Genomic DNA, 23,568 nt, shown 5'->3' on the forward strand with positions numbered 1-23,568 from the left:
CCTGGGAGCCCTCCCCTGCCTATACTTTTGTCTCTCAGAGAAGAAGTAATAATTCACTCCATGTGCAAATGGAAAAACTGAGACCTGAAAGGTTGAGTGGTTTGTCCCAGGCCCCATAGTGAGTTAAAGGCATCAAAATCCCTTACACATGTATGGGGCTTTATAAACCATCAAGTGTGTAAAGGGTGTTGACATTTAGAAAATAACTGTGCCGAGTCTCCTAGGGATCTGGTACATGTATTTTGACTGCCAGTTTACGGATGGGAACGATGAGACTCAGAGAACTTAGATGAGCCCAAGATTGTACATTGAGTTTGTGGCAGAGTTGACGCTCAAACTCGAGCCCTCTGCTCTTTCCACCGCACACGCAGACCTCTCACCTGGGCCCTTCTAGACCCTCTCTGCAATTATTTTTTCCCCTCCATACAGGTAGATCTGTGAAGGTGGAGAGTCATGAGCCAGCAGGGACAGGGTTAAATTCTTCCTAAGCAACAGAGCTGGTTTTGAGCTGGGCACCTTCAGTGACCCCATTGTTGACCCCCTTCCCTCGGGTCAGGACTGCAGGCAGTGGGGGAAGGGAAGCACTGCAGGGAGCTCTAATGGCCCAATGCGGGCAGAGAGAGGGCCAGGAAGGGATGCTCATCTGTCTCCCTCTTTGGACAGAGATGAACAAAGATGCCGGTGGCTTTTTCAGTCTCCATAGAAAATCCCCAAGGCTCCCTTGGGGCGGGCTGCCATCAGCTCTTCCTGCACTCTTAATCACACCGTGGAGCACGGGCAGCTCCTGTAGACACAGCAAACCCTGTGATGTGTTGTTGGTTAAGTGGGAACTGGGATAATTTTTGCCAGTAAAGCACCAAATCAGAAAATGGAAGCATCAAATGAACCTTAGGGCTAGTGGGATTTTGGGGCTTGCCTGTCATTCATTCATTGAAAAGGAAAAGGATGGCTTGGGTGGCCCACAGAAGCCAGCATCTGTGACCTCAAATGGATGAGTCCCTGCAAACTGGGAAGGCTGCCCAGTTCCTCTTCCTCTTCCCAAGTGGCCCCCGTCCTGCCACTCCCTTCTATGAGCGCAGACCTTCTGGTTTAGAGCTTCAGTCTGGACCATTGTGCTGTGTCCTCTCCAGGCGGGGAGGGCATCAGGAGTAAACCTCCTTCCACGGCCCTGAGCCGTACAGTAAGTCTCCCAGGGTTGTACGGCAAGGCAGGGGCAGAGCTGTTCTGTAAACAGGCGTCAGTTCAGTTGCCTTGAAACCGCCAACTCTAAGATGGACATCCGAGGGGAAAGGATTTCCAGGAAAGTCGAGGAACTGATTTTAGGGGAAGACTAAATCTCTTTCTCTATCCCCATCTTCTTGTCGTCTGGGTCCCTTGAACTCCCTGCTGAGAAATCCTAAATACACCTTGTCTCTGGGTTGCGCATGGAAGCCTTTAATTGTTTCTAGAGGCAGTGAGGGAAGGCCTTCTAGTTGGTCGGGCAGGTCTGGCACTGTCTGGGTCTTGCTGCTTCTAGACACTTCAATTAGGGATGTTAATTATGGCCTTGTGAACACAGGCTCTCCCAAGGCAGCCGCTCTCCAGCCCTGCTGCCCCCATGTTGTCCCCTCACCAGTCAGTGAGGCTATGTTTATGGTCTCGCCTCTGTCCATCTGCAGATTAAAGATGCCCTGAAAGCATAACTTATTAGCAGTTTTTTGTTCTCTCCATCTTTTAAAAAATTGGATTAAAGTAGACATAATGTAAAATTTACAATTTGTAAATGTGTAGTTCAGAGGCATTAAGTCCATTCACATTGTTTTGCAACCATCACCACCATCTGTCCATGGAACTTTTTCATCTTCCCAAACTGAAACTCTGTTCCCATTAAGCAATAGCGTCCCCTTCCTCTCTCACTCCAGCCCTGTAACTCTATTCTACTTTCTGTCTCTATGAATTTAGCTGTTCTAAGTACCTCACATAAGTAGACACATACAATATTTGACCTTTTATGCCTGGCTTATTTCAGTTAACATAATGTCTTCAATATTTGTCTACATCGTAGATGTGTCAAGATTGCCTTCCAGCTTAGGGCTGATGATATTCCATTGCATGTATATATCATACTTTGTTGATTCATTCATCCATTGATGGACACTTGAGTTGTTTCCCATTTTGGTTGTTGTGAGTAATATTGCTATGAGTTTTGGGGGTATATCCCCAGAAGTGGAATTGCTGGATCATATGGTAATTCTATATCTAATTTCTTGAGGACCCGCCATCATATTTTTCTTTTCTTTTCTTTTTCTTTCTTTCGTTTTTTTTTTTTTTTTTTGCGACAGGGTCTCACTCTGTCTCCCAGGCTGGAGTACAGTGGCATGATCACAGCTCACTGCGGCATCAACCTCCTGGGCTCAAGCGATCCTCCCACCTCAGCCTCCCAAGTAGCTGAGACCACAGTGTATGCCACCATGCCCAGCTGATTTTTGTATTTATTTATTTATTTATTTTTGAGACAGAGTCTTGCTCTGTCGCCCAGGTTAGAGTACAGTGGTGGGTTGTCGGCTCACTGCAGCCTCCATCTCGTGGGCTCAAGCAATTCTCATGCATCAGTCTCCCAAGTAGCTGGGTTTACAGGCACCCGCCACCACACCTGGCTAATTTTTGTATTTTTAGTAGAGATGGGGTTTCACCATGTTGGCCAGGCTGGACTCGAACTCCTGACCTTGTGATCCACCCACCTCAGACTCCCAAAGTGCTGGGATTATATGCATGAGCCACCATGCCCAGCTAATTTTTGTATTTTCTGTAGAGATGAGGTTTTTCCATGTTGCCCAGGCTTCTATCTGTTTTTCACAGCAGCTATACCACTTTTCATTTTACATTCCCATCAGAAATTCTCTACATCCTTGCCAATTCTCCTCCTCCTCTTTCTTCTCTTTTTCTTCTTCTTTCTCCTTCTTTTTTTGATAATAGCCATCCTCTTGGGTATGAAGTGAAAATCCACTGTGCTTTTTATCTTTTAAGGGGGAAGTCAAGGCCTGAGAAACACTGATACGTGCCTCTGCATTGCAGAGCCCCTTGGGCCCAGGCTTTCTAGCCCCATCCTGGCTTCCATTCTCTGTCCTAAACCCCTTTGTCTCCAGTCCATCAAGAGAGGGCAGGGGCGAGGTCCACTGACTGTTAGGGGCCCTGCCTTCCCTCCTGTCACAGCAGCAGAGTGGCTGTGACCTGGCAGAGGTGTTGGGAGGGTGGATGTCCCTAGGGGTCAGGAGGAGGTTTCAGTAATGTGAAATTGGAAGAGTTGAATCATTTCAACCACGGGGCATGGGGATAAAGGAAATCATGATGCAGCCATAGAGTGGAAGATGTGCAGCCATTAAATATGGCTTTATGAATAATTTTTAATATCCAGTTTTTGGTAACATGAAAACTGCTGATGTGTACTATTAAGTGGGAGAAAATAAATATAAAAACTTGCTTATGAGGCCGGGCTCAGTGGCTTATTCCTGTAATCCCAGCACTTTGGGAGGCCGAGGTGGGTGGATCACCTGAGGTCGGGAGTTTGAGACCAGCCTGACCAACATGGAGAAACCCTGTCTCTACTAAAAATACAAAATTAGCTGGGCGTGGTGGCGCATGCCTGTAATCCCAGCTACTCGGGAGGCTGAGGCAGGAGAATCACTTGAACCCGGGAGGTAGAGGTTGCAGTGAGCCGAGATTGCGCCATTGCATTCCAGCCTGAATGCAACAAAAGCGAAACTCCGTCTCAAAAAAAAAAAAAAAGAAAAGAAAAGAAAAAAAAACTTGCTTATGAATGAAAAACAAAACCACCTTCAGAAAAAAAGATTTGATAGAAATAGGCCAAATTGTTGTCAATGGCCACCTCCTGGATGGATGTGAAATGGGTGATTTTTAAAATTGTTTTCTTATTTTTAAATTTTAATTTAAATTTATTTTTTGAGATAGGGTGTTGCTCTGTTGCCCAGGCTGGAGTGCAGTGGTGTGATCATGGCTCACTGCAGCCTCAACCTCAAGTGATCCTCTCATCTCAGCCTCCTTAGTAGCTGGGACTACAGGTGTGTGCCACCACACCTGGCTAATTTTTTCATATTTTTTGTGGAGATGGGATTTCACCATGTTGCCTAGGCTGATCTCAAACTCCTGAACTCAAGCAATCCACCCACCTCGACCTTCCAAAGTGCTGGGATTACAGATGTGAGTCACCATCGCCCAACCTGTTTTCTTTATGTTATTTAAAATTTTGCAGATTGGCTGAACACGGTGGCTCATGCCTGTAATCCCAGCACCTTGGGAGGCCAAGGCGGGCAGATCACCTGAGGTCAGGAGTTCGAAACTAGCCTGACCAACATGGAGAAACCCCATCTCTACTAAAAATACAAAATTAGCCGGGCGTGGAGGCGCATGCCTGTAATCCCAGCTACTCGGGAGGCTGAGGCAGGAGAATTGCTTGAACCGGGGAGGCAGAGAAGTTGTAGTGAGCTGAGATGGTGCCACTGCACTCCAGCCTGGGTGACAGAGCGAGACTCAAAAAAAAAAAAAATTTTGTTGTTGTTGTTGTTGTTGTTGCTGATTTTCTACAGTAAGCACACACTCCTTTTATATTTAGGAAAAAACTGATAAAATAAGAGTGACTACGACTATTCATTAGGCATATGTGTTGCCAGGGTCTACTGAACACTCAGCTCTGCTTGATGCTATTGAAAGTTCAGGAATGAATGCGAAGCTAACAGGGAGGTGTGGGGTTAGGTGGTGGGGAGGACTGGCCAGAACACAGAGGGGTGATGAATGTAAGGGGAGTCAGGGTCTGGGCAGCCTGGAGCCCTCCAGAATGCTGCCTTTGTTCATGAGAAGCCTCATTCATGGGGAAGATACCGTGGGTAGGACTCTGGCCTTGAGTCACCTTGTCTCTGCAAGTGGCGCAGGCAGGCTCCATTGAGCTCTTCACCCATGTTCACCTGGTCCCTTGGCATAGCTGGCAGGAGTGAGCGAAGCTTGTAGCCTGTGAAACCAGGGGTTTTCCTGCCCCAGGTTGACTATTACTTCCCTTGCATCATCCGTACCAGGGCCAAGGGCCTGGTTCCCTTGACTTCCATTGTGGGAGCAGCACTGGCCCAGCAGAGGTGGGACAGTGGGGTTTCCAGGAGATAAACTTCCATGGCTCTTGGGACCTCTGACTAGTAGAAGAGAAGCCAGTATAATCCAACACTTAAAAGAAGAGACTCATTAGCCAGTCTCTGGGTTCAGTTTCTTGGTCACTACTCACTGGCTATGACCTTGGGCAATGGCTTAGCCTCCTTAGGCCTCTGTGTCCTCATAGTAGCTATTTCACAGGACTAATGAAGGAATTAAAAGGCTAAATCCTTATAGATTATGCTTAGCATGTAAGTAGTTGATTCCTATGGTCTGACTGAGAGGTGGATTCTGATGCTAGACTGCCTGGGCTCAAATCATGTTGGTGTCTCAGTGTCTTTTTCTGGCTTTTTTTTTTTTTTTTTTTTTTTGAGACAGGGTCTCTGTAGCTCAGGCTGAAGTGCAGTGGCATGATCATGGCTCACTGCAGCCCCAACCTCCTGTGCTCAAGCCATCCTCCCGAGTAGCTTGGGCTACAGGCATGCCTCACCACACCTGGCAAATTTTTGTATTTTTTGTTGAGATGGAGTTTCATCATGTTGCCCAGGCTGGTCTTGAACTCCTGGGCTCAAGCAGTCCTCCCACTTCGGCCTCCCAAAGTGCTGGGATTACAAGTGTGTGCCACTGCGCCCAGTCGGCATCTCAGGTTTTTCATCTGTAAAGTGGAGATGATAATATGATCTACTTCAGATGATTATTATGAAGATTAAATGAATTAATATAAGTAAAAGTGATTCGAACAGTGCTTGGCACATAGTAAATGCTCAATAAACGTTAGCCATAGGCTGGGCATGGTGGCTTATGCCTATAACCTCAGCATTTTGGGAGGCCAAGGCAGGAGGATAGCTTGAGGCCAGGAGTTCAAGACCAGTCTGGGCAACATAGCAAGACCCTGTCACTATAAAAAATGAATTAGCTGGGCATGGTGGCATGCACCTGTAGTTCCAGCTACTTGTGAGGCTGAGGTGGGAGGATTGCTTGAGGCTGGGAGGTTGAGAGGCTGTAGTGAGCTGTGATTGTGCCACTGTACTCCAGCCTGGGTGACAGAGTGAGACCCCATCTCTAAAAAGTAAAGTTAGCCATAATTGGGGTCTTTCACCACATACTAGTGTGACTCAGCCAGTTGTTTGTGGCTGGCAACTGCCAATTCATCTGATTGTCCCAAGAGCCTCAGTGGATTGGTCAGTGCCCATGACTCCCTTGCTAAATAGTCTTGAATGTCACCATTATTCATTACTATTATTAGTATTGTGGGTTCCACGTGTCAGGATCCCTTCCTGGGTTGTATTTCATCTTACCCCTTTGCCAAGTCTTGGTTGATGTGGTCCTGCCTCAGTTTCCAAAGGGTGCTGGTGATGGAAAGCGGGGTGCTGGGCAGATTGGGGTGAAAGCTGGCTGCTTTGGGGATTGTTTGATGAGCATTATAGTAGATTAAGCTGCTTCTCCCCTTCCTTCCCTGCCCTTATTGAAAAGGCGCCAAAGCCAGGAAAAACAAACAGCCACCCATAAATAAAGAGGACCATGAAATAACAAAATCGAAAAAGAAAACTTGCTTTAGTGGCGGGCTTGGCTGACGATAGGGTAGATAATGGGAGAGGAAACGCAGCCTTTGGAGAGAAAAAGAACGGAACGCGTTGTTCACTGGAAGAATGAATGCTGCCTGAGGAAGAGCTGCTAAACTGGGGTGTCCGATGAGCGAGCCTGTGTTAGGGGAGCTGGTGGTGATTAGGCTTACATGAGGCATGAGTGTCATTCCACCAAGAACCCCTGGGATGGGGGACACCTTAGGCTTAAGCGGGCTGTGCCAACGGGAGGCCGGTGTGCCAGTCTGGCCTAGAGCCTTGGCTGCCATGATCATAGAGCTGCTGCTCACCTCCTCAAGGGCTGGCCAAGCTGGGAGCTGGATGCTTGAATCTCTTAGGGAGCCCCTAGACCTTCTGTCAAGGTATATATTTTTTCTGGAGTGTTAGGGAGACAATCCCAGGGAGGAGAGGAGGAGGCCAAAGTTGTTTGCTGACTGTTTGCATTCAAGGCTGTGCTCCTGTCAACACTGCCTGGTGGCTTTCTGGGTGAATGAAATTTACTGACTTCTCTTCCTTTCTTGTACCACTTACCCATCTGGATCGTGGACCCATTTCTCCTGCCTCTGCAATGAGTTGGGTGCCTGAGGTGGGAAGGGGAGAGAAACCTTTCCTGAGCCCTTGGGATCCCAGGATGCTGTGTGGAAGTGCCCACTTTGGGAGTGGGCTGTGGGCTCACAGATGGGTAGAGGCTGATATTTGAAATGCATTTAAGAAGGGCCTTAGATGGCTGGGCGCGGTGGCTAACACCTATAATCCTAGCATTTTGGGAGGCTGAGACAGGAGGATCACGTGAGCCCAGCTGTTCAAACCAGCCTGGGCAACATAGCGAGATTCCCTCTTTATTTAAAAAAAAAAAAAAGTGGCAGGAGGCCTTGGAAACATACTGGTTTGGGGCTGAGTGGTCTGGCTGGTAGAGGTTTCCTGGAAACACAGTCCTTCATTCAGCCACCACAATACTAAGTGCCAATCTGCTTTGTGCCAGGCATTGGGCTAAGTATTTTCTATATAATAACTTATCAGTTCTCTAGCAAGCATAAGAGGTAGGTATTGTTAGCCCCCATTTCAGACAATGAATCTGAGGTGTAAAGAGGTTAAGTCTCAAGTATTCACTGGGCTACCTAGAGCCCAGCTGCTTCCCAATTTTCCACCCTTCACCTCCTAATCTAGATGACAATGGTAAAATGCCCATTACAGTTGTTCATCACGGCTGTGTGCCAGGCACTGGGCTTTGCCTGTGTTATCTCGTTTACTCTTTGAAACCCCACTAGTGAGTATATATTACTATTTGCCCCAGTTACAGATAAAGGCAGGAGGGTCATTTGAGCCCAGGAGTTCAGGACCAGCCTGGGCAACATGGTGAGGCTGAGAGAGTTAAACTAGTTGGCTAGTTAAGACGGATGCTGGGTTTGAACCAATGCTGCGTGTCTCCCAGAGCCTCATTTCACCATGTACTATGAGGGCTTAGTCTACATGGCTTAGACTTGTCACAAAGCAAAAGCCGATAATGCCCAGCCCACCCCAGTACTGGGAGAAGGAGTGTTTGGCAAAGGTGAGATTTCATCAGCCTGGCGGGTAAACATGGCTGTTTGCAGACTAGTTGCGCTTGTCCTTTCCGCTGTCTGTAGTCATCCCTATGGTCCCCACCTTCCTCTCCCTCTGGGGTTGGCAGGAGAACGCAAGGGTTAATGATATAGCACTTCACCCTTGTGGGCTCCAGAGGAAATGAGGGAGCTCATGAGTTCTGCAGAGCTTTTGTGTCATCAGCCGGGGAAGGGAAGGCACCGTGGCTTGGCCAGATAAGCGGTGGCGCTGCGAATGTGGGGCTTCCTTGGCAGATTTGTAGCCTTTCCGCCTGTTTGCACTGTGGGGCACCTGCTGGGGCTTCCAGGGTGGTTGGGGACATCAACAGGGCATTCAGAAAACTGATAACCTAGGCTAGGGAGGGAGACCTACATGGAGCAGATGGAGGAGGAAGAGGGTGGCGGGCCCTGGTGTTCTGCAGGTGCATGTCTTCTGCTTGTTTGACCATGTGGGGGAAGGGGGTGGCGGTGGGTCAGGGAGCAAACATTTTTTTGATTTTCACAAACACCATCATATTCAGTCTTCTCTATCTCTATGGGGTAGGTGTTATTTGTTCCCATTTTAGAGATAGAGAAACTGAAACTTCCCCATGGCCACACATCTAGTGGTATATAATAGAGCCAGTCTTCAGACACAGGTCCATGTGACAAAGTCCTTTTTCCATTAGCCACACCAGGATGCCTCCCAGCAATGCTGGGTCATCACACCCACCCACCTGCCTCCGGAAGAGCTGGGCTGGCTGGGGAGGAGAATAGGGTGTGAGTCCTTCTCCCCCTTGCCCTGGGGGCAGGGAGGGAGAGGGACTCCTTCCTGCTTTAGGGCTCTTTCTCCTTACCTCCTTCCCTGAACATATATTCTGTACCAGATTCTGTAATTATACCTTATCTCTTACTCACAAAATAGTTCTTGGAATCTCTATTTTACACATGAAGAAATGGGGGTTTTGAGAGGTGAAGTCTTTCCCCCAACTTGCCAGAGCTGCCTGGGTTTCTTTTGACTAAGTTTTCCTTGGCTATGACTCAAGTCAGAAACAACTGCAATCCTGTAAGAGGTGAAGACAGTGGCCATTCTATCTCTGCTGGACCAGAGCCTGTTATTTTGCACCGAGGAGAGTGGCCAGGGCATCAGCTGATAAATGAAAGGATGTGGATTTAGACATCAGCGAGGCCTGAGTTCAAATGCTACTTCTGCTGGGCCCTCAGTAGGACGTTCTAGCCCCCGAGCCTTAGTCTTTGTAGTGTTCTTGTGAGGATTAAGCAGGAATGTGAATGAAGAGCCTTTCACTTAGTGCTTGCAGCCAAGTAAGTGCTGTAGCATTGCATGCTTGCTTTTTGCCTCCCATTCCTTTGGTCAGTATTCAGGGCTATCCCCCAAGGGGCCTTTGACATGGCCAGTCAGCCTCAGCTGCACAATTTCTGCATCTCCCAGCCCTAGGCTGGGCACTGTCCCTGCAGGAAGCCAGATGTGCTCACCTGTCCAGGACACAGGCTTGGCCTTGCCATTGGGAAACAAGGATGAGGCCTACCCCTGCCTTCTAGCACTGTTGGGGTGCAGGAGAACCTGGAGACAGGCTTGGGTTCTAGAGGCAGGAAGGCCTCCAGAGAAGGGCCTCCTAGAGACACTGTTGACCTCTTCTCGGTTTGGGACCTTCTGGAGGCACACATCACACTGGGAGCCTCAATGGCGCTTTCAAGCAGTCCCATCTGTCTCTTTCTCGACCCACTCACTGGGTTGGGAGAAGACTCAGGTGCCTCTGAGGCCTGAGGACCAGGTGGGAACATCACAGCTACAGTCTCTCCCTGGCCACTGTTTTCCTTTGTGCCCTTGGGCCAGGGTCAGCTGAGTCCCGGCAGCCACAGAAGCTCAGGCTGGACTGTGATTCTGTACCTGAGGTGCTGTGGGGAAGTGCCTCTTCTCCCATGCTTGGGAGTTGACCCAGCCTCTGTCTGATGTTGGCCACTCTACCAGGTGAATGCCACCCTGACCAGCCTGGAAACAGCCGAGGGAGTGTTGGCTGTGGCCCCCCTGAGCTGGGCTAGACCAGACCGGCCGTGCCCTGGATCTGATACCCCCCAGGGCTCACAGAGGCTGGAAAGGGTGAGAGGGACTCGCAGGAAAGCTTTGTCCCAAGCCTGCAGCCAGTCCAGCTCCCAGCTCTGAGTAAACATTAGAGATAGGATCGGGTGTAGCCAGGAAGGGTGGCAGGGTGTGGTCTGTGAGAAGAATGGCAGGATGTGGCACCGGGGCACTGTTCTGGGCACCCACGCCTTGGCCTATTGTTTAGGGCAGCCTGAGGTTCTCAGCTCTCTGGGGGCTTTCAGAGGAAGTGGCATTCCCCTGGGACTCAAGCCCTGCCCCACCCCTGCTGCATGGATCTCTTTCCCTGGTGATGCCCCTTGGCACCACCCACTCAGAGCAAGCTTGGGAGTGGGAGCCAGCAGTGGAGGGGGATTAGTGTGTGCCCAGCGGGGAAGTGTAGCCATTGGCCCTCTCAGAGGGTCTGCCTGTCTGTTCAGGCTTCCTGTACCCCAGGGTCTGAGTCACCCGTCATGCTACGATGACTGGAATTTATCTCTATCTTTATCTTCATCTAGATATTTTTTGTAGGGTGGGGGAAGGCTGTCGTTGTGGAGGGAGGAAGGACTGACAGTAAAAACTCCTTTGATTCCAATCCAACAGGGTCAGTTGTTGACTGGTTAGAAGAGGAAGTGGCTGGTGATTTGTTTTGGGCAGAAAGGGGCTAGGTTTGTGTGCGCCTGTGGGTTGGTGGGGTTCAGAGGGGCCGTGACAGGGCTGGTTGTGGGGAGGAGAGAGGAAGAGGATCGGCACCTGCAGCGGGCTTTGTCATATAAGCGCCATGCTTTGAGCCACTGTCCCTCCATGGAGGCGGGTGCCTCTCTATACCTTGTCTCAGGTGCTGGATTTGGGGGCCTCGGGGCCTGGTAGGCACAAGCTGAGACTCAAGGCTCTGCATGTCAAGGGCGAAGATGGCTGGAGCCCTCTCCTTAGAGGTCTTCACTTCTTAAGGATGCTCACTTGGGTGAGATAAGACCACAGAGGAAGAAGAATGGAAGAGGGATTGTGAGGTGGGTTCCTGAGAAGGAAGGGAGGGCAGAGCAGAGATGCCGCTTAGCGCCCCAGCTGGCTGAAGGCCTCTGACTCTGTATAATCTCTTTTTTTTTTGAGACAGAGTCTCCCTCAGTCACCCAGGCTGGAGTGCAGCAGTGCAATCTTGGCTCACTGCAACCTCCGCCTCCTGGGTTTGAGCGATTCTCCTGCCTCAGCCTCCTGAGTAGCTGGGATTACAGGTATGCACCACCATGCCTGGCTAATTTTTGTATTTTTAGTGGAGATGGGGTTTTACCATGTTGGCCAGGCTGGTCTTGAACCCCTGACCTCAGGTGATCAACCCGCCTCAGCCTCCCAAAGTGCTGGGATTACAGATATGAGTCCGGCCATTCTATACAGTCTTGAAGCAGTGCTGCCCCAAAAGCTGCGTGAACTCAACATCTCCTGACCTCAGTTTCTCTGTTTATAAAATGTGTTGAGGTTGGGCAAGAGAGGAAACTGGGCACGCAGGAGCACTTCCATCCAAGCGAGGGGCTGACGGGCTACCCTGTGGACTTGTGGCCTCTGACCAGTACCAAGGCATCAGACTAGGGTGGAAACTGAGGGAGCCCAGTAACTCCTGTATCCTGTGGACCCAGCGTTCTTTGGCTTCTGGGCATTTTGGGACAGTGGAGTTTGAGGTTACTGACCTTAAAACCTCCTGCGGAGCCACATGGAAAATGACTGAAGCAAGGAGCATGCTGTGTAACAAAGGAGTAAAGGAACTTGAGGGATTATTTTAGTTTCTGGAAAGTCTAAAGGGAGACTTAAGGGAGGACTCCAACGGGGTCTTTAAATCCAAAAAGTATGGAAAGTGTTTCTTATCCGACCCAAGGTAAAAAGAAAAGGAAATGGAATCGCTTTGCTGCTGGGGGTATTTAGGTAACTCATAGGAAGAGCTTAGACCCAAGGAAGAGGCAGCAGAGGATAATTGGGTGTGGGAGAAAAACCTGAGAGAGCAGGAGCTGTCTAATAGTCCTAACAGTATCCATCACCTGTTAAGCATCCAGACCTGCTTTGTGCTGTGCTGCTGAACTCTGTCACTCTCTTGTCATTCTAAGAATATTTATCGAGCACTTACTGTGTTTCAGGCACTGTGCTAGGCTCTGGAGCTACAGTGATGAGCAGAAACAGGTATATTTTTGGCTACTGGGTGACTCCAAAATAAATTTTTTTTTTTTTTTTTTGAGAAGGAGTTTTCGCTGTTGTTGCCCAGGCTGGAGTGCAGAGGCGTGATCTCAACTGACTGCAACTTCCACTTCCCAGGTTCAAGCAATTCTCCTGCCTCAGCCTCCCAAGTAGCTGGGATTACACACCTGACTAATTTTGTGTTTTTACTGGAGTCAGGGTTTCACCATGTTGGTCAAGCTGGTCTCAAACTCCTGACCTCAGGCGATCTGCCCACCTTGGCTTCCCAAAGTGCTGGGATTACAGCCGTGAGCCATCGCGCCCAGCGACTCCAAAATAAATTAAGCGTGTAAAGGTATCATTACCAATTGTGATAAATACTTTTAAGGTCAAGTTCAAAGTGCCATGAGAATGTAAAATAGGCACTCTGATAGGGTCTGGTGTTGTTAACAGGAGATTCACCTCTTGATGTTGAGTTTCTTATTCCTATTTTACTGAGGAGGAAATGGGCTCAGAGAAGTTAAGTTACTTGCCCAAGGTTGCACAGCAATGATTGGTCAGAGTTGGGATTCAAATGTACCCAAGTCTGTCTGACCCTAGAGGCTTTTCTCTCAACCACTTGACTCTCAGAGCATCCTGGACTGCGCACAACTTACAGAATAGATATTCACCCTGTATTATCTGATCTTCATGGACACCAGTGAGACATGGGTTATTGTACCCATTGTATGGATGAGGAGACAGGCTAAGGGAGGTTAATTAATTTGACTAGGTTCATACAAGTCAGCCTGTGGCAGGGCAGGAATTTAAACCCAGGTTGTTGGATTCAAACCCTGCGGGTCTTCCAAGTTGTCCCCTGACTCCCTCCAGGACCCTTGTTTTATAGACACAGCTTGCAGGGGTGAAGCAAACTGTGCAGACCCCCAGCTGCAGAGTGACAGAGCAGTGACCACATAATGACCCCTCTCTTTCCATCTCACTGCCTTTCCTCCCTTATCTAGTTGATCATGGGACCGTCGCTCCCCTCCCTGGGATGGTTAGGGTCTGGAGCCTGGTACTGATGCTCTTCACAGAGACACCTGCGTCTCTCTGGGCCATGGCAGGCTGGGGCTTGGTTCCCTCAAGACCAGACAGGGCAGGGAAAGCAGCTGCTCTTCTCAAGCAGGCCTGTGCTTGGGGAGGGGGAGAGGGAGGTAAAAGAGGTACCCAGGGACCCTCTCCCCCAAAGGTGAGACCCAGAGTTGCTCTCCATTGGGGGCGGGGTGGCATTGTGCCTGGGCTGTTGCCTTTTCATGGACAAGTGGGCCCAGAGGATACCAACTAAGGGCCAGTGCCCAGCACCTGCCGTTGAGCCAGACACCTGTGAGGATGGAAGGGCCCTTGTCTGGGCAGGGTTATCTGGTGGGCACCCAGCCCTAGTGAACAGACTGACACCTCTAAGCTGGCTTGGCTGGTCACCAGGAGCCATTGTCTTTGTGCTGGAGGCCAGGGTAGGCCACTGAGAGGCCCAGGAGACAGGCTCCCTAATATAAGGGTGATCCATGGTGCCTGGCTGGAGGGACCGTGGAGGCTAAGTGTGTGTAGAAGCTCAAAGGGAGGAGGTGTCCTAGTGCAGCGCTGTCCAACATAAATATAATGGGAACTACATGTGTAATATTTGCTAGTAGCTGTATTAAAAAGTATAAAAAGAAATAGGTGAAATGAATTTTAATGATGTATTTTATCTAACCAACTTATCCAAAAAGAATTTCAACTTGTAATCAGTAACCATTACTAATGAGCTATTTTACATTCTATTCCATGTACTAAGCCTTCAAAACCTGGGGTGGGTTTGATGCCCACAGCACATTTCTGTTGGGACTGGCTGCATTATAAGTGCTTAGTAGCCGCATGGGGCAAGTGGCTGCAATCTTGGGCCGTGCAGTCCTAGGGTTAATTAGGACAGATGATGGCCTCCTCTGCCTCCACCATCAGCTCCAGGGATGGATGGTCGTTCACCATCCCCAACTGGGGAGACCTTGGACTTTTGTGTCCTGTTCATCTGACCATGCTCCTGGAGGCTGTGGCTGCTGCTGGGATTTCTGGGCTGCAGCAGGAAGGCTTTGAGGTGGGAGCTGGAGGCCCCTGAAGTTGGGACAGAATGAAGGAGAGACCCTTAGGACCCAAGTCCGGAGTGAGGAGGGACCCGGTGGCCGGCCTGCGCCCGCAGTGGGTGTGAGTGAGGTGGCGCTGAGCCGACGGATCAGAGGCCCACAGGCCCGCATTGTGCGCCTGTCACACTTCCTTTGGCTTTATTGCTTTTGTCCAACACCCTATTGTCTGGCTTCCTTTTGTCCCCCATTCAGTGCTGCTGCCTTTTATTTTCCAGCCAGCCTGGTTGTTTTCATTTCTTTTGTCTGAAGTTCCTGAGAGGAAGGTTTTATTTTCAGCGGTTTGATTAATTCACAGCTTGAGCCCAGGGTTTGTTTGTTATGTAATTGCTGCCTTCGGCTTCAGGATAAAACCCCCTCCCCAACTGCACCCACTCCCACTTCTCGCCCCCCTGCTCTCGGCCTGGCTCTGAGCCCCTCCCGGTGCCCGGATGGGCTGAGCCGCCTGCTTTCTGGACGCTCTCCAAGCCCCTGGGCTGTAGGAGGGGACCCCAGGGTGAGCTGGCCTGGGGTCTCTTCTCTTCTCTGCATCTAGGTGGGATGGGGCCTTTGTACTTATGGTCATGGAGGCCCCTCTCTGCAGTGCCCTGTCTTGGGACCCAGCCTCTGGGGAACCCTACACTTTGAAAGTGGGTGAGCAGGAGAGTCTGGTCTGATCAGCAAGGTGGAATCAAATCAAATACACATGCACTCATGCACTGCTTGCCTACCAATGTCTCTGTCAACGACCGAACACATATAGGACAGTGGTCCTGCAAGATTCTACTACTGTATTTTTGCTGTAGCTTTTCTATATTTGGATGTTTGGATACACAAATACTTAACCATTGCATTACAATTACCTACGGTATTCAGTACAATAACATGCTGTACAGGTTTGTAGCCTAGGAGAAATAGGCTATACCATACAGCCTGGTGTGTAGTAGGCTGTACCATCTAGGTTTGTGTAAATATACTTTATGAGGTTTGAATAACAAAGAAATTGCCTGGTGATGCATTTCTCAGAACATGTTTATGCTATTAATTGATGTAGGACTGTATATAGTCATCCCGCTGTATCTGAGACGGTTGGTTCCAGGACCTCCAAAGATACTAAAATGTGCTGATGTTCAAGTCCCTGATATAGAATGGCATAGTATTTGCATATAACCTATGCACATCCTCCCGTATACCTTGTTTTTTATTTATTGTTATTATTATTATCATTATTATTATTTTTTTTTGAGACGGAGTTTCGCTCTTGTTGCCCAGGCTGGAGTGCAATGGCACCATCTCGGCTCACCACAACCTCCACCGCCCGGGTTCAAGAGATTCTCCTGCCTCAGCCTCCTGAGTAGCTGGGACTACAGGCATGCACCACCACACCCGGCTAATTTTGTATTTTTAGTAGAGATGGGGTTTCTCCATGTTGGTCAGGCTGGTCTCGAACTCCCGGCTTCAGGTGCTCCACCCGCCTCGGCCTCCCAAAGTGCTGGAATTACAGGCATGAGCCGCCGCGTCTGGCCAGTTGTTATCATTTCTGAGATAGGGCCTTGCTCTGTCACCTTGACAGAGTGGAGTGCAGTGGCTTAATCTTGGCAGCTTCAAACTGCTGGCCTCAAGTGAATCCTCCAGCCTCAGCCTCCTGAGTAGCGAGGACTATAGGCGCATGCCACCATGCCCAGCTAATTTTTGTATTCTTTTGTAGAGACAGGGTCTTGCTATGTTGCTCATGCTAATGGGCAACATAGCAAGACCCTGTCTCTACAAAAAAAATACAATACTCCTGGCCTCAAGCAATCCTCCTGCCTTAGCCTCTCAAAGTGTTGAGATTACAGGCATGAGCCCCTGTGCCTCTAGATTACTTATAATACCTAATATAATGTTAATCATATATAAATAGTTTTTGCACTATATTGTCTAGGGAATAATGACAAGTCTACTTGTTCAGTACAGATGAAATTTCTTTTTTAAATATTTTTGATCTGAGGTTGGTTGAATCCATGGATGTGGAACCTACAAATACAGAGGGCTGATTGTATATATTTTATTCAATTATAATGCTTATTTAAAATACTCTACATGTACTCTATTATATACAATGCGTGTTTCATAATACATAACAAACATTTTACAGAGTTGATGCAATCTATCCAAATGCATCCATACAGAGCTGATGCAGTATTTAAATACCATACTGCACCTGGGAGGTTTAAGGAATTTTTTTACTGTAGGGATATTTTTACTATATCTGATTTTAGCCTTACATACTTCCCCTAAACATCTAATCCCCATGCAAAAAAAAAAAAATCAAAAAATGTATTTAACAGTGCTTTTCTAACTAGTGCATATCAAAATCACCTGGAGGTCTTGTTAAACCTGATCCCTGGCCTAACTCCCAGAGATTCTGATTTGTGGGAGGGACTTATGACTTTGCCTCTCAAACAAGCCCCCAAGGCATGCTGAAGCTGCTGGTCCTTATACTGCATTCCAACTAGTAGTGGTTTAACAAACACCAGATCATGTGATGTTATTTGGAAATGTGATAAACAAGGAAACAACAAAACACCAGATCGGTGCTTACTGGTGCCACAAACTATTCTAAGTACCATATAAATATCAACTCCTAGTCCTCACGGCCATCCTATAGTGTAGAGACTCTTACCATGCTCATTTTACAGATGAGGAAACTTGAAGTACAGAGCAGCTAAGCAACTTGCCCTAGGTCACTTGGCTAGTCAGTAGCTGAGGCAGGACCCATGCATAGCTGGAACCTGCTGTGTTCCCACTAGAACCCAGAGCGCATCTCTGTGACTTTGGAGGATAGGCATCTGCTGCTCCGCCCAAGCCTGGCATGACCCCTGGAAACCACTCCCTGAGATGCTGCGATTGCTCAGCTCCTCAGATGTCCCAGGCAGTGATGTGACAGGAAAGGAACAGCAGGTGCAGAGTCTCAAGAGGGTCTGCCAGGTATACCAGCTGCTTAAACTAGGAACTGCAAACTCAGATGCCTATGGTGGCCAGACTCTGAGAGATTCTAGCTAGATACCGGAAAATATTTTTCGTAAAGCCAATCATCTCAGTCTGTTATTCCCCCCACCCCCGCCCTTTATTTTTTTAAAGAGATGGGAGTCTCATTAGGTTGTCCAGACTGGCCTCAAACACCTGACCTCAAGTGATGTGCCTTCCTCAGCCTCTTGAGTAACTGGGATTACAGGCATGAACCACCATACCCGGCTATTTCCCCCCGTGTGATAGATGCATGAAGCAAGAAATCATTTACTTTTACCTTATCTCCACTGTAAGAAGAAGACTATATGTCTTATATATAGAAGAATATATGTCTTATATAGTTAATACTTGGTTTCCTTTTTGAGGAGTAGTAGGAGTGTAGAGGCTAAAGTAGACTGGCCTGTCCATAAGAAATACCCATTACTCAATTCCAGCCAATTTTTACCACAAAAACAATTGAGCTAGAAGTTCAAATCTAGATTTTTATGTGTTATCTCTTGATTTTTAAGTATTGGTAACTAATTATAAAAATGCATTTGTAGGCTGGGCGTGGTGGCTTACGCCTGTAATTCCAGCACTTTGGGAGGCTGAGGCGGGCAGATCACCTGAGGTCAGAAGTTGGAGACCAGCTTGGCCAACATGGCAAAACCCCATATCTACTAAAAATACAAATATTAGTTGGGGGTGGTGGCGTGTGCCTGTAATTCCAGCTACTCGGGAGGCTGAGGCAGGAGAATCACTTGAACCTGGGAGGCGGAGGTTGCAGTGAGCCGAGATCGTGCCCTTGCACTCCAGCCTAGGTGACAGAGTGAGACTCTGTCTCAAAAAAAAAAAAATGCATTTGTATACATACAAACATGCACAGACACATGCACACATGCGTGCACACACACACACACACACACACACACTTTCTCTCTCTCGCTGTCGCTCTCCAACTCTGTTGGGCTCAGAAACAGCCAGTCAGTATCTGGCCTCGTTAGTTGGGCCGTCAGTCCACTAGTCCCGTAGTCCCAAGCATTACACAGGCAGCTGCTGCGCAAGGGTAGGCCCACTCTTCTCTAGAACTTTTTGTTTAAAAAGCAAAAAACAAAACAAAAAAGCATGAGGGATACAAGAGGCTTTGCTGATTTTTCTGTGGGTTCACAAGTAAGCTTGCCCTTTCTGTGAGTGTGCCCATGTGACAGGCACCAGGAGGCACTTGGGTGGGGTCAGGGGAGCAAACAGTAGGGTCACTGCCTCTGGGCAGAAGTTTACGACTGGGGACTCACCTCAGCTCACTCTGTCCCTCCCCCAGGATGTCCATGAGGAGCCCCATCTCTGCCCAGCTGGCCCTGGATGGCGTTGGCACCATGGTGAACTGCACCATCAAGTCAGAGGAGAAGAAAGAGCCTTGCCACGAGGCCCCCCAGGGCTCAGCCACTGCCGCTGAACCTCAGCCTGGAGACCCAGCCCGGGCCTCCCAGGATAGTGCTGACCCCCAAGCTCCAGCCCAGGGGAATTTCAGGGGCTCCTGGGTCAGTGTCCCCGCCCTGCCTCCATCCTCACACCCATGCGCTGTACCTGGGCTCTCTGCTCGGCTGGGCAGGCCCACTCCCCTAGATGGCAGCAGATACAGGCAGAAGTGGTGATCCTAGGGGTAAGACGCCATGTAGGGAAGCAGGGAGGCACTGCCAAGTTCAGTCTGAGGCTGGAAGCGGGGTCACCTATCAGAGCAGGACCTAGACTCATGCCTGTACTTACTCGCTTGATAGTGACAGTTCACCTATGTGTGACCCAGTCCTTGCTTCTGAGGACTAGATGGGGAGATGGGACACACATGCTAAAGTTTGGCTTTAAAGTAATCTACCAGATTTTTCAGATGATTTGGGAAAATCAACCTGATTACACAAGCAAGAATTAGGTCACTGTTAAAGATGATACGGTTCTTGACCCTTAAAAAAACAAGAGAATTGAGCTGCATGATTCATAAGGATTCTTGCAGCTCCTAAAAATTCTGATTTCACATATGAGATGTAAAAAGGTGATATATAATTAAAATCCAAATAAGTGAAAATGAGGAGAGTTATGGGCTCTAAGAAAGAATCCAGCCTGGAGGAAGGAGGTGGGGGGTGGGGGCACTGGTGATCAAGGAAGGCTTCCTGGAGAAGTAGAGCCTCAAGCTAGGCCTTAAAGGATGGGGAGGACTTTGACGAGAAGAGGAGTGAGGCAGGCAGTGGGGAGTGTGAGTAACTTTTGCCAGCCCCTACCTGCTCCCCTATGCAGCCCAGCTGGTGTAGTGGGTATGTTCAAGGGAGTGATAACTAATAGCTGACTTTTGGCCCCTGATTGTAATGGCAAATCTCATTCACATGCATTAACTCCCTTGATCCCAGCAACAATCCTGTGACAGAGGAGGTATTAATATTTCCATTTTCAAAAGAGGGAAGTCAGGTTCAGAGCATTTCAGGGACTTGTGTGGGATCAAGCATCGTGTGAGTCACTGAGCCTGGACTGAAACCCAGGTCTTTTGTTTTGAAATCTTCTGTTCTTTTCCTAAACAAAGCTTGGGCAGGTGGAGGCCAAAGGGACCTAGTGAGTGGAGAAGTAGGACTTGGATAGGGCTGGGATCCCTCAGGGTACACATCTTTGGGGTGCCCAGCCCTCCCTGCAGCCTGTCCCCTTCTCTTGGGGGTTATGGTGACAATTCAGTATGTCTTGCAGGACTGTAGCTCTCCAGAGGGTAATGGGTCCCCAGAACCCAAGAGACCAGGAGTGTCGGAGGCTGCCTCTGGAAGCCAGGAGAAGCTGGACTTCAACCGAAATTTGAAAGAAGGTAGGATGTCTGCCCTAGTTAGAAGCAGAGGCCTGAGGCAGGGAGGTGTTAAGACGGTTATTCCTCACCCCTTTGCTGTCTTCCAGTGGTGCCAGCCATAGAGAAGCTGTTGTCCAGTGACTGGAAGGAGAGGTTTCTAGGAAGGAACTCTATGGAAGCCAAAGATGTCAAAGGTGAAGGCCTGTTGGGGGTGGGGGAGATGTTTGAACCCCATCTCTCTTCTCCTGGTCTGGCCACGCAGCCTGGCTCTGTAGGGCAGTTCTTGGTACATACCTATCCTGTGCCATCTGGCTCCTGCCTGGCCTTAGGGGTCATCACCATCCCTCGCCTGGAGGCCCCAAGCATTAGGTCTCACTCATCCCATGCAGGAGAGGCCTGGTAGGAATCAAATCCCATGACTCTGAATCTGGGCTCTCACCAGGCACCCTTGTGACTTCAGGCATGTCATTGCCACTTCCCGAGTCTAACCGCAAAATGAGCAGAAAGTTCCCTTTCACTCTAATTAATTCTAGGTCAGTTGGACCTCACTAAGTGAGTGAAAAGTAGTTACTAATGGGCTGCTGCTTGGGTTCCTTAGAGTGATTTTTTTTTTTTTTTAAGATACAGTCTCCCTGTGTCGCCCAGGCTGGAGTGCAGTGGCACAATCTTGGCTCACTGCAGCCTCAACCTCCTGCATGATCCTCCTATCTCAGCCTCCTGAGTAGCTGGGAACACAGGCACCTGCCACCAAGCCAGGCTAATTTTTATATTTTTTTTGTAGAGATGACGTCTTACTATGTTGCCCAGGCTGGTCTCGAACCCCTGGGCCTAAACAGTCCTCCCACCTTGGCATCTCAAATTGCTAGGATTGCAGGCATGAGCCACCCACTGCACCCAGCCAGAATGATCATTTTTGCATTGTCATTGATCACACCCACAGAGGGAACTTTAAAACCGTACAGATGCCCAGGCTCCACCCCCACCTATTGAATGGGAACCCCAGGGTATGGTAGGGGCCTGGGCCTCTATACTTCTCAAAGGATCCATGAGTGATTCCGATGTTGTTTTTTTTTTTTTTTTTAAAAAAAAAAAAAAAAAAAAAGGTCTATGGCCAGGCACTCAGGAATAAACTGCTGCATCAGACAGGAGCTAAACTGGAGGTCAGGGGGACACTAACATTTATTGGTTGAGGACCATGTGCCAGATCCTGGACTAAGAGCTTTGCATATATTAGCGCTTCTTCTTCTTTTTTTTTTTTTTTTTTTTTTTTTGGAGAGAGACAGCTCGCTCTGTTGCCCAGGCTGGAGCGTAGTGGTGTGATTTCGGCTCACTGCAAAGTTCACCTCCTGGGTTCAAGCGATTCTCCTGTCTCAGTCTCCCAAGTAGTTGGGATTACAGGTATGCGCCACCATACCCGGCTAATTTTTGCATTTTTGTAGAGATGGGGTTTTACCATGTTGTTCAGGCTGGTCTCGAACTCCTGACCTCAAGTGATCCACCTGTCTCGGCCTCCCAAAGTGCTGGGATTACAGGCGTGAGCCACCACACCTGGCCTCTATTAGCTCATTTATCCCTCATAGTAACCCTCTGAGGTGATTATTATTATGCCCACTTACCAAGATTTTGAAAACCCTAAAGTGCAGAGAAATTGGTAACTTGCCTAACAGCTCACAGACAGGATGGGTTGAAATGGGAATTTGACCCCAGACCTGTCTTGCTTCAAAGCCTGAGTGTGTCCCACTGGATCCCTCCGATGGGATGGTTGTCCACCCTGACCCTGTGTGGCGCTGAGCACTCGAGGACATTGAAGAGGCCTGGGGCTCTGGGGCTGACATGTCCCACTGTCAGCATTTTCAGGGGGCCTGGAATTCATGGCTAATAGGGGAGAACTTCTAGGCTAGTAGTTGCCAGGTAGCAACATGAAGAGCCCCCTTCAAGGCAAGCATCTTGTGTCATCATCTCTGTGGCTCAGCCCCTAATGGTCCTGGGACATAGCAATTGCTCAATAAGTTTCTGATGGATGGGTGGATAGATGGATGGATGTATAGATGAACAAGTAAAAAGTCTCAATGGGGTCTGTTTCACTGTGGAGCAGGGACCCAAGAGAGCCTAGCAGAGAAGGAGCTCCAGCTTCTGGTCATGATTCACCAGCTGTCCACCCTGCGGGACCAGCTCCTGACAGCCCACTCGGAGCAGAAGAACATGGCTGCCATGCTGTTTGAGAAGCAGCAGCAGCAGATGGAGCTTGCCCGGCAGCAGCAGGAGCAGGTAGGTCCTGTTCGGTGGGTGTAGCTTTCTTTCCAGGAAAAGGAGTGTGTCAGGACCTAGAGAAGGCTGCCTTAGGGACAGGCCTCACCAGTGCAAGCTGGGGCCTGGGGGCAGGCTGGGCAGGGTCTGTGGCCAGGGGCTGTAGGATTCCCACCTGGACTGATTCATGAGCCCTTGTACAGGGTTAGGGGTGGGAGGGTATGAAAGGGACTCTGCAGGAAGAGCAGCTTGCAGCTTCCTGCCCAGCCTCCTGGTCCTGGAGGGAGGGATGAGCTTCCTGCAAAAGGAGAACCAATTCTGAGGGCTGACTGCTTTGCTCCCTACTGCCACCCCACTCCATGGCTTGCCCCACTGTAGAAAGCAGGGTGTGGTTAGGGCTGGGCAGACTGGGCACCAGGGCTAATGTCCGTGACCCCCTCTGCCTACTCTTTCCCTCTCCCAGATTGCAAAGCAGCAGCAGCAGCTGATTCAGCAGCAGCATAAGATCAACCTCCTTCAGCAGCAGATCCAGGTAACCGGAGGGGAGACCCGGAGAGGCACAGGAGGCAGTTGAGGGAGTTGACACCGGCCTGGAGGGTGCTGGGGACAGGGGATGTGCACCAAGTTAAAGAGCCAGAGCAGAATCACTCAGGCCTGACCTGAGGAGGGTTATTTCTATTCTAGCCCCCAACCTGTCTTCCTTCCCTGATTAAAGGGAGGAGCCCGGCATGTCTTCCTCCCCAGCTGAGACCTGAGGGCAGGTAGACAGGGGCCCACAGAGTTGGCCTAGGGTCAAAGGGATCCTTTGGAAAACTGTCCCTGCTTTATCCCCTGTGCCTCTTGTCCATGGGTC

At 49.3% G+C, this 23,568-nt stretch overlaps 1 protein-coding gene across 4 annotated transcripts in view, besides 3 other annotated features; it reads left to right on the forward strand.

The window, feature by feature from the left end:
- The window catches only part of SOX13 (SRY-box transcription factor 13), a 54,629-nt gene that overhangs the window by 20,829 nt on the left and 10,232 nt on the right, over positions 1 to 23,568 (forward strand). For all 4 annotated transcript variants that reach the window (NM_005686.3, XM_005245623.4, XM_047435006.1 and 1 more), the window contains exons 2-6: positions 18,972 to 19,191; positions 20,378 to 20,489; positions 20,576 to 20,662; positions 22,564 to 22,736; positions 23,179 to 23,247. In NM_005686.3, the coding sequence (NP_005677.2) occupies positions 18,973 to 19,191; positions 20,378 to 20,489; positions 20,576 to 20,662; positions 22,564 to 22,736; positions 23,179 to 23,247 (660 nt within the window). In that variant the 5' untranslated portion in view covers position 18,972. The remainder of the gene's footprint in view (positions 1 to 18,971; positions 19,192 to 20,377; positions 20,490 to 20,575; positions 20,663 to 22,563; positions 22,737 to 23,178; positions 23,248 to 23,568) is intronic.
- Positions 13,263 to 14,106: an enhancer, noted in NCBI's record as "H3K27ac-H3K4me1 hESC enhancer chr1:204076334-204077177 (GRCh37/hg19 assembly coordinates)". NCBI's record gives its function as "activates a minimal SCP1, AML or CMV promoter by ChIP-STARR-seq in naive H9 embryonic stem cells {active_cell/tissue: H9 hESC(naive)}" and the evidence as "EXISTENCE:reporter gene assay evidence [ECO:0000049][PMID:30033119]".
- Positions 14,107 to 14,949: an enhancer, noted in NCBI's record as "OCT4-NANOG-H3K27ac-H3K4me1 hESC enhancer chr1:204077178-204078020 (GRCh37/hg19 assembly coordinates)". NCBI's record gives its function as "activates a minimal SCP1, AML or CMV promoter by ChIP-STARR-seq in naive H9 embryonic stem cells {active_cell/tissue: H9 hESC(naive)}" and the evidence as "EXISTENCE:reporter gene assay evidence [ECO:0000049][PMID:30033119]".
- Positions 14,950 to 15,793: an enhancer, noted in NCBI's record as "OCT4-NANOG-H3K27ac-H3K4me1 hESC enhancer chr1:204078021-204078864 (GRCh37/hg19 assembly coordinates)". NCBI's record gives its function as "activates a minimal SCP1, AML or CMV promoter by ChIP-STARR-seq in naive H9 embryonic stem cells {active_cell/tissue: H9 hESC(naive)}" and the evidence as "EXISTENCE:reporter gene assay evidence [ECO:0000049][PMID:30033119]".

This window comes from Homo sapiens, chromosome 1, assembly GCF_000001405.40.
Source record: "Homo sapiens chromosome 1, GRCh38.p14 Primary Assembly".
Taxonomy (NCBI): domain Eukaryota; kingdom Metazoa; phylum Chordata; class Mammalia; order Primates; family Hominidae; genus Homo; species Homo sapiens.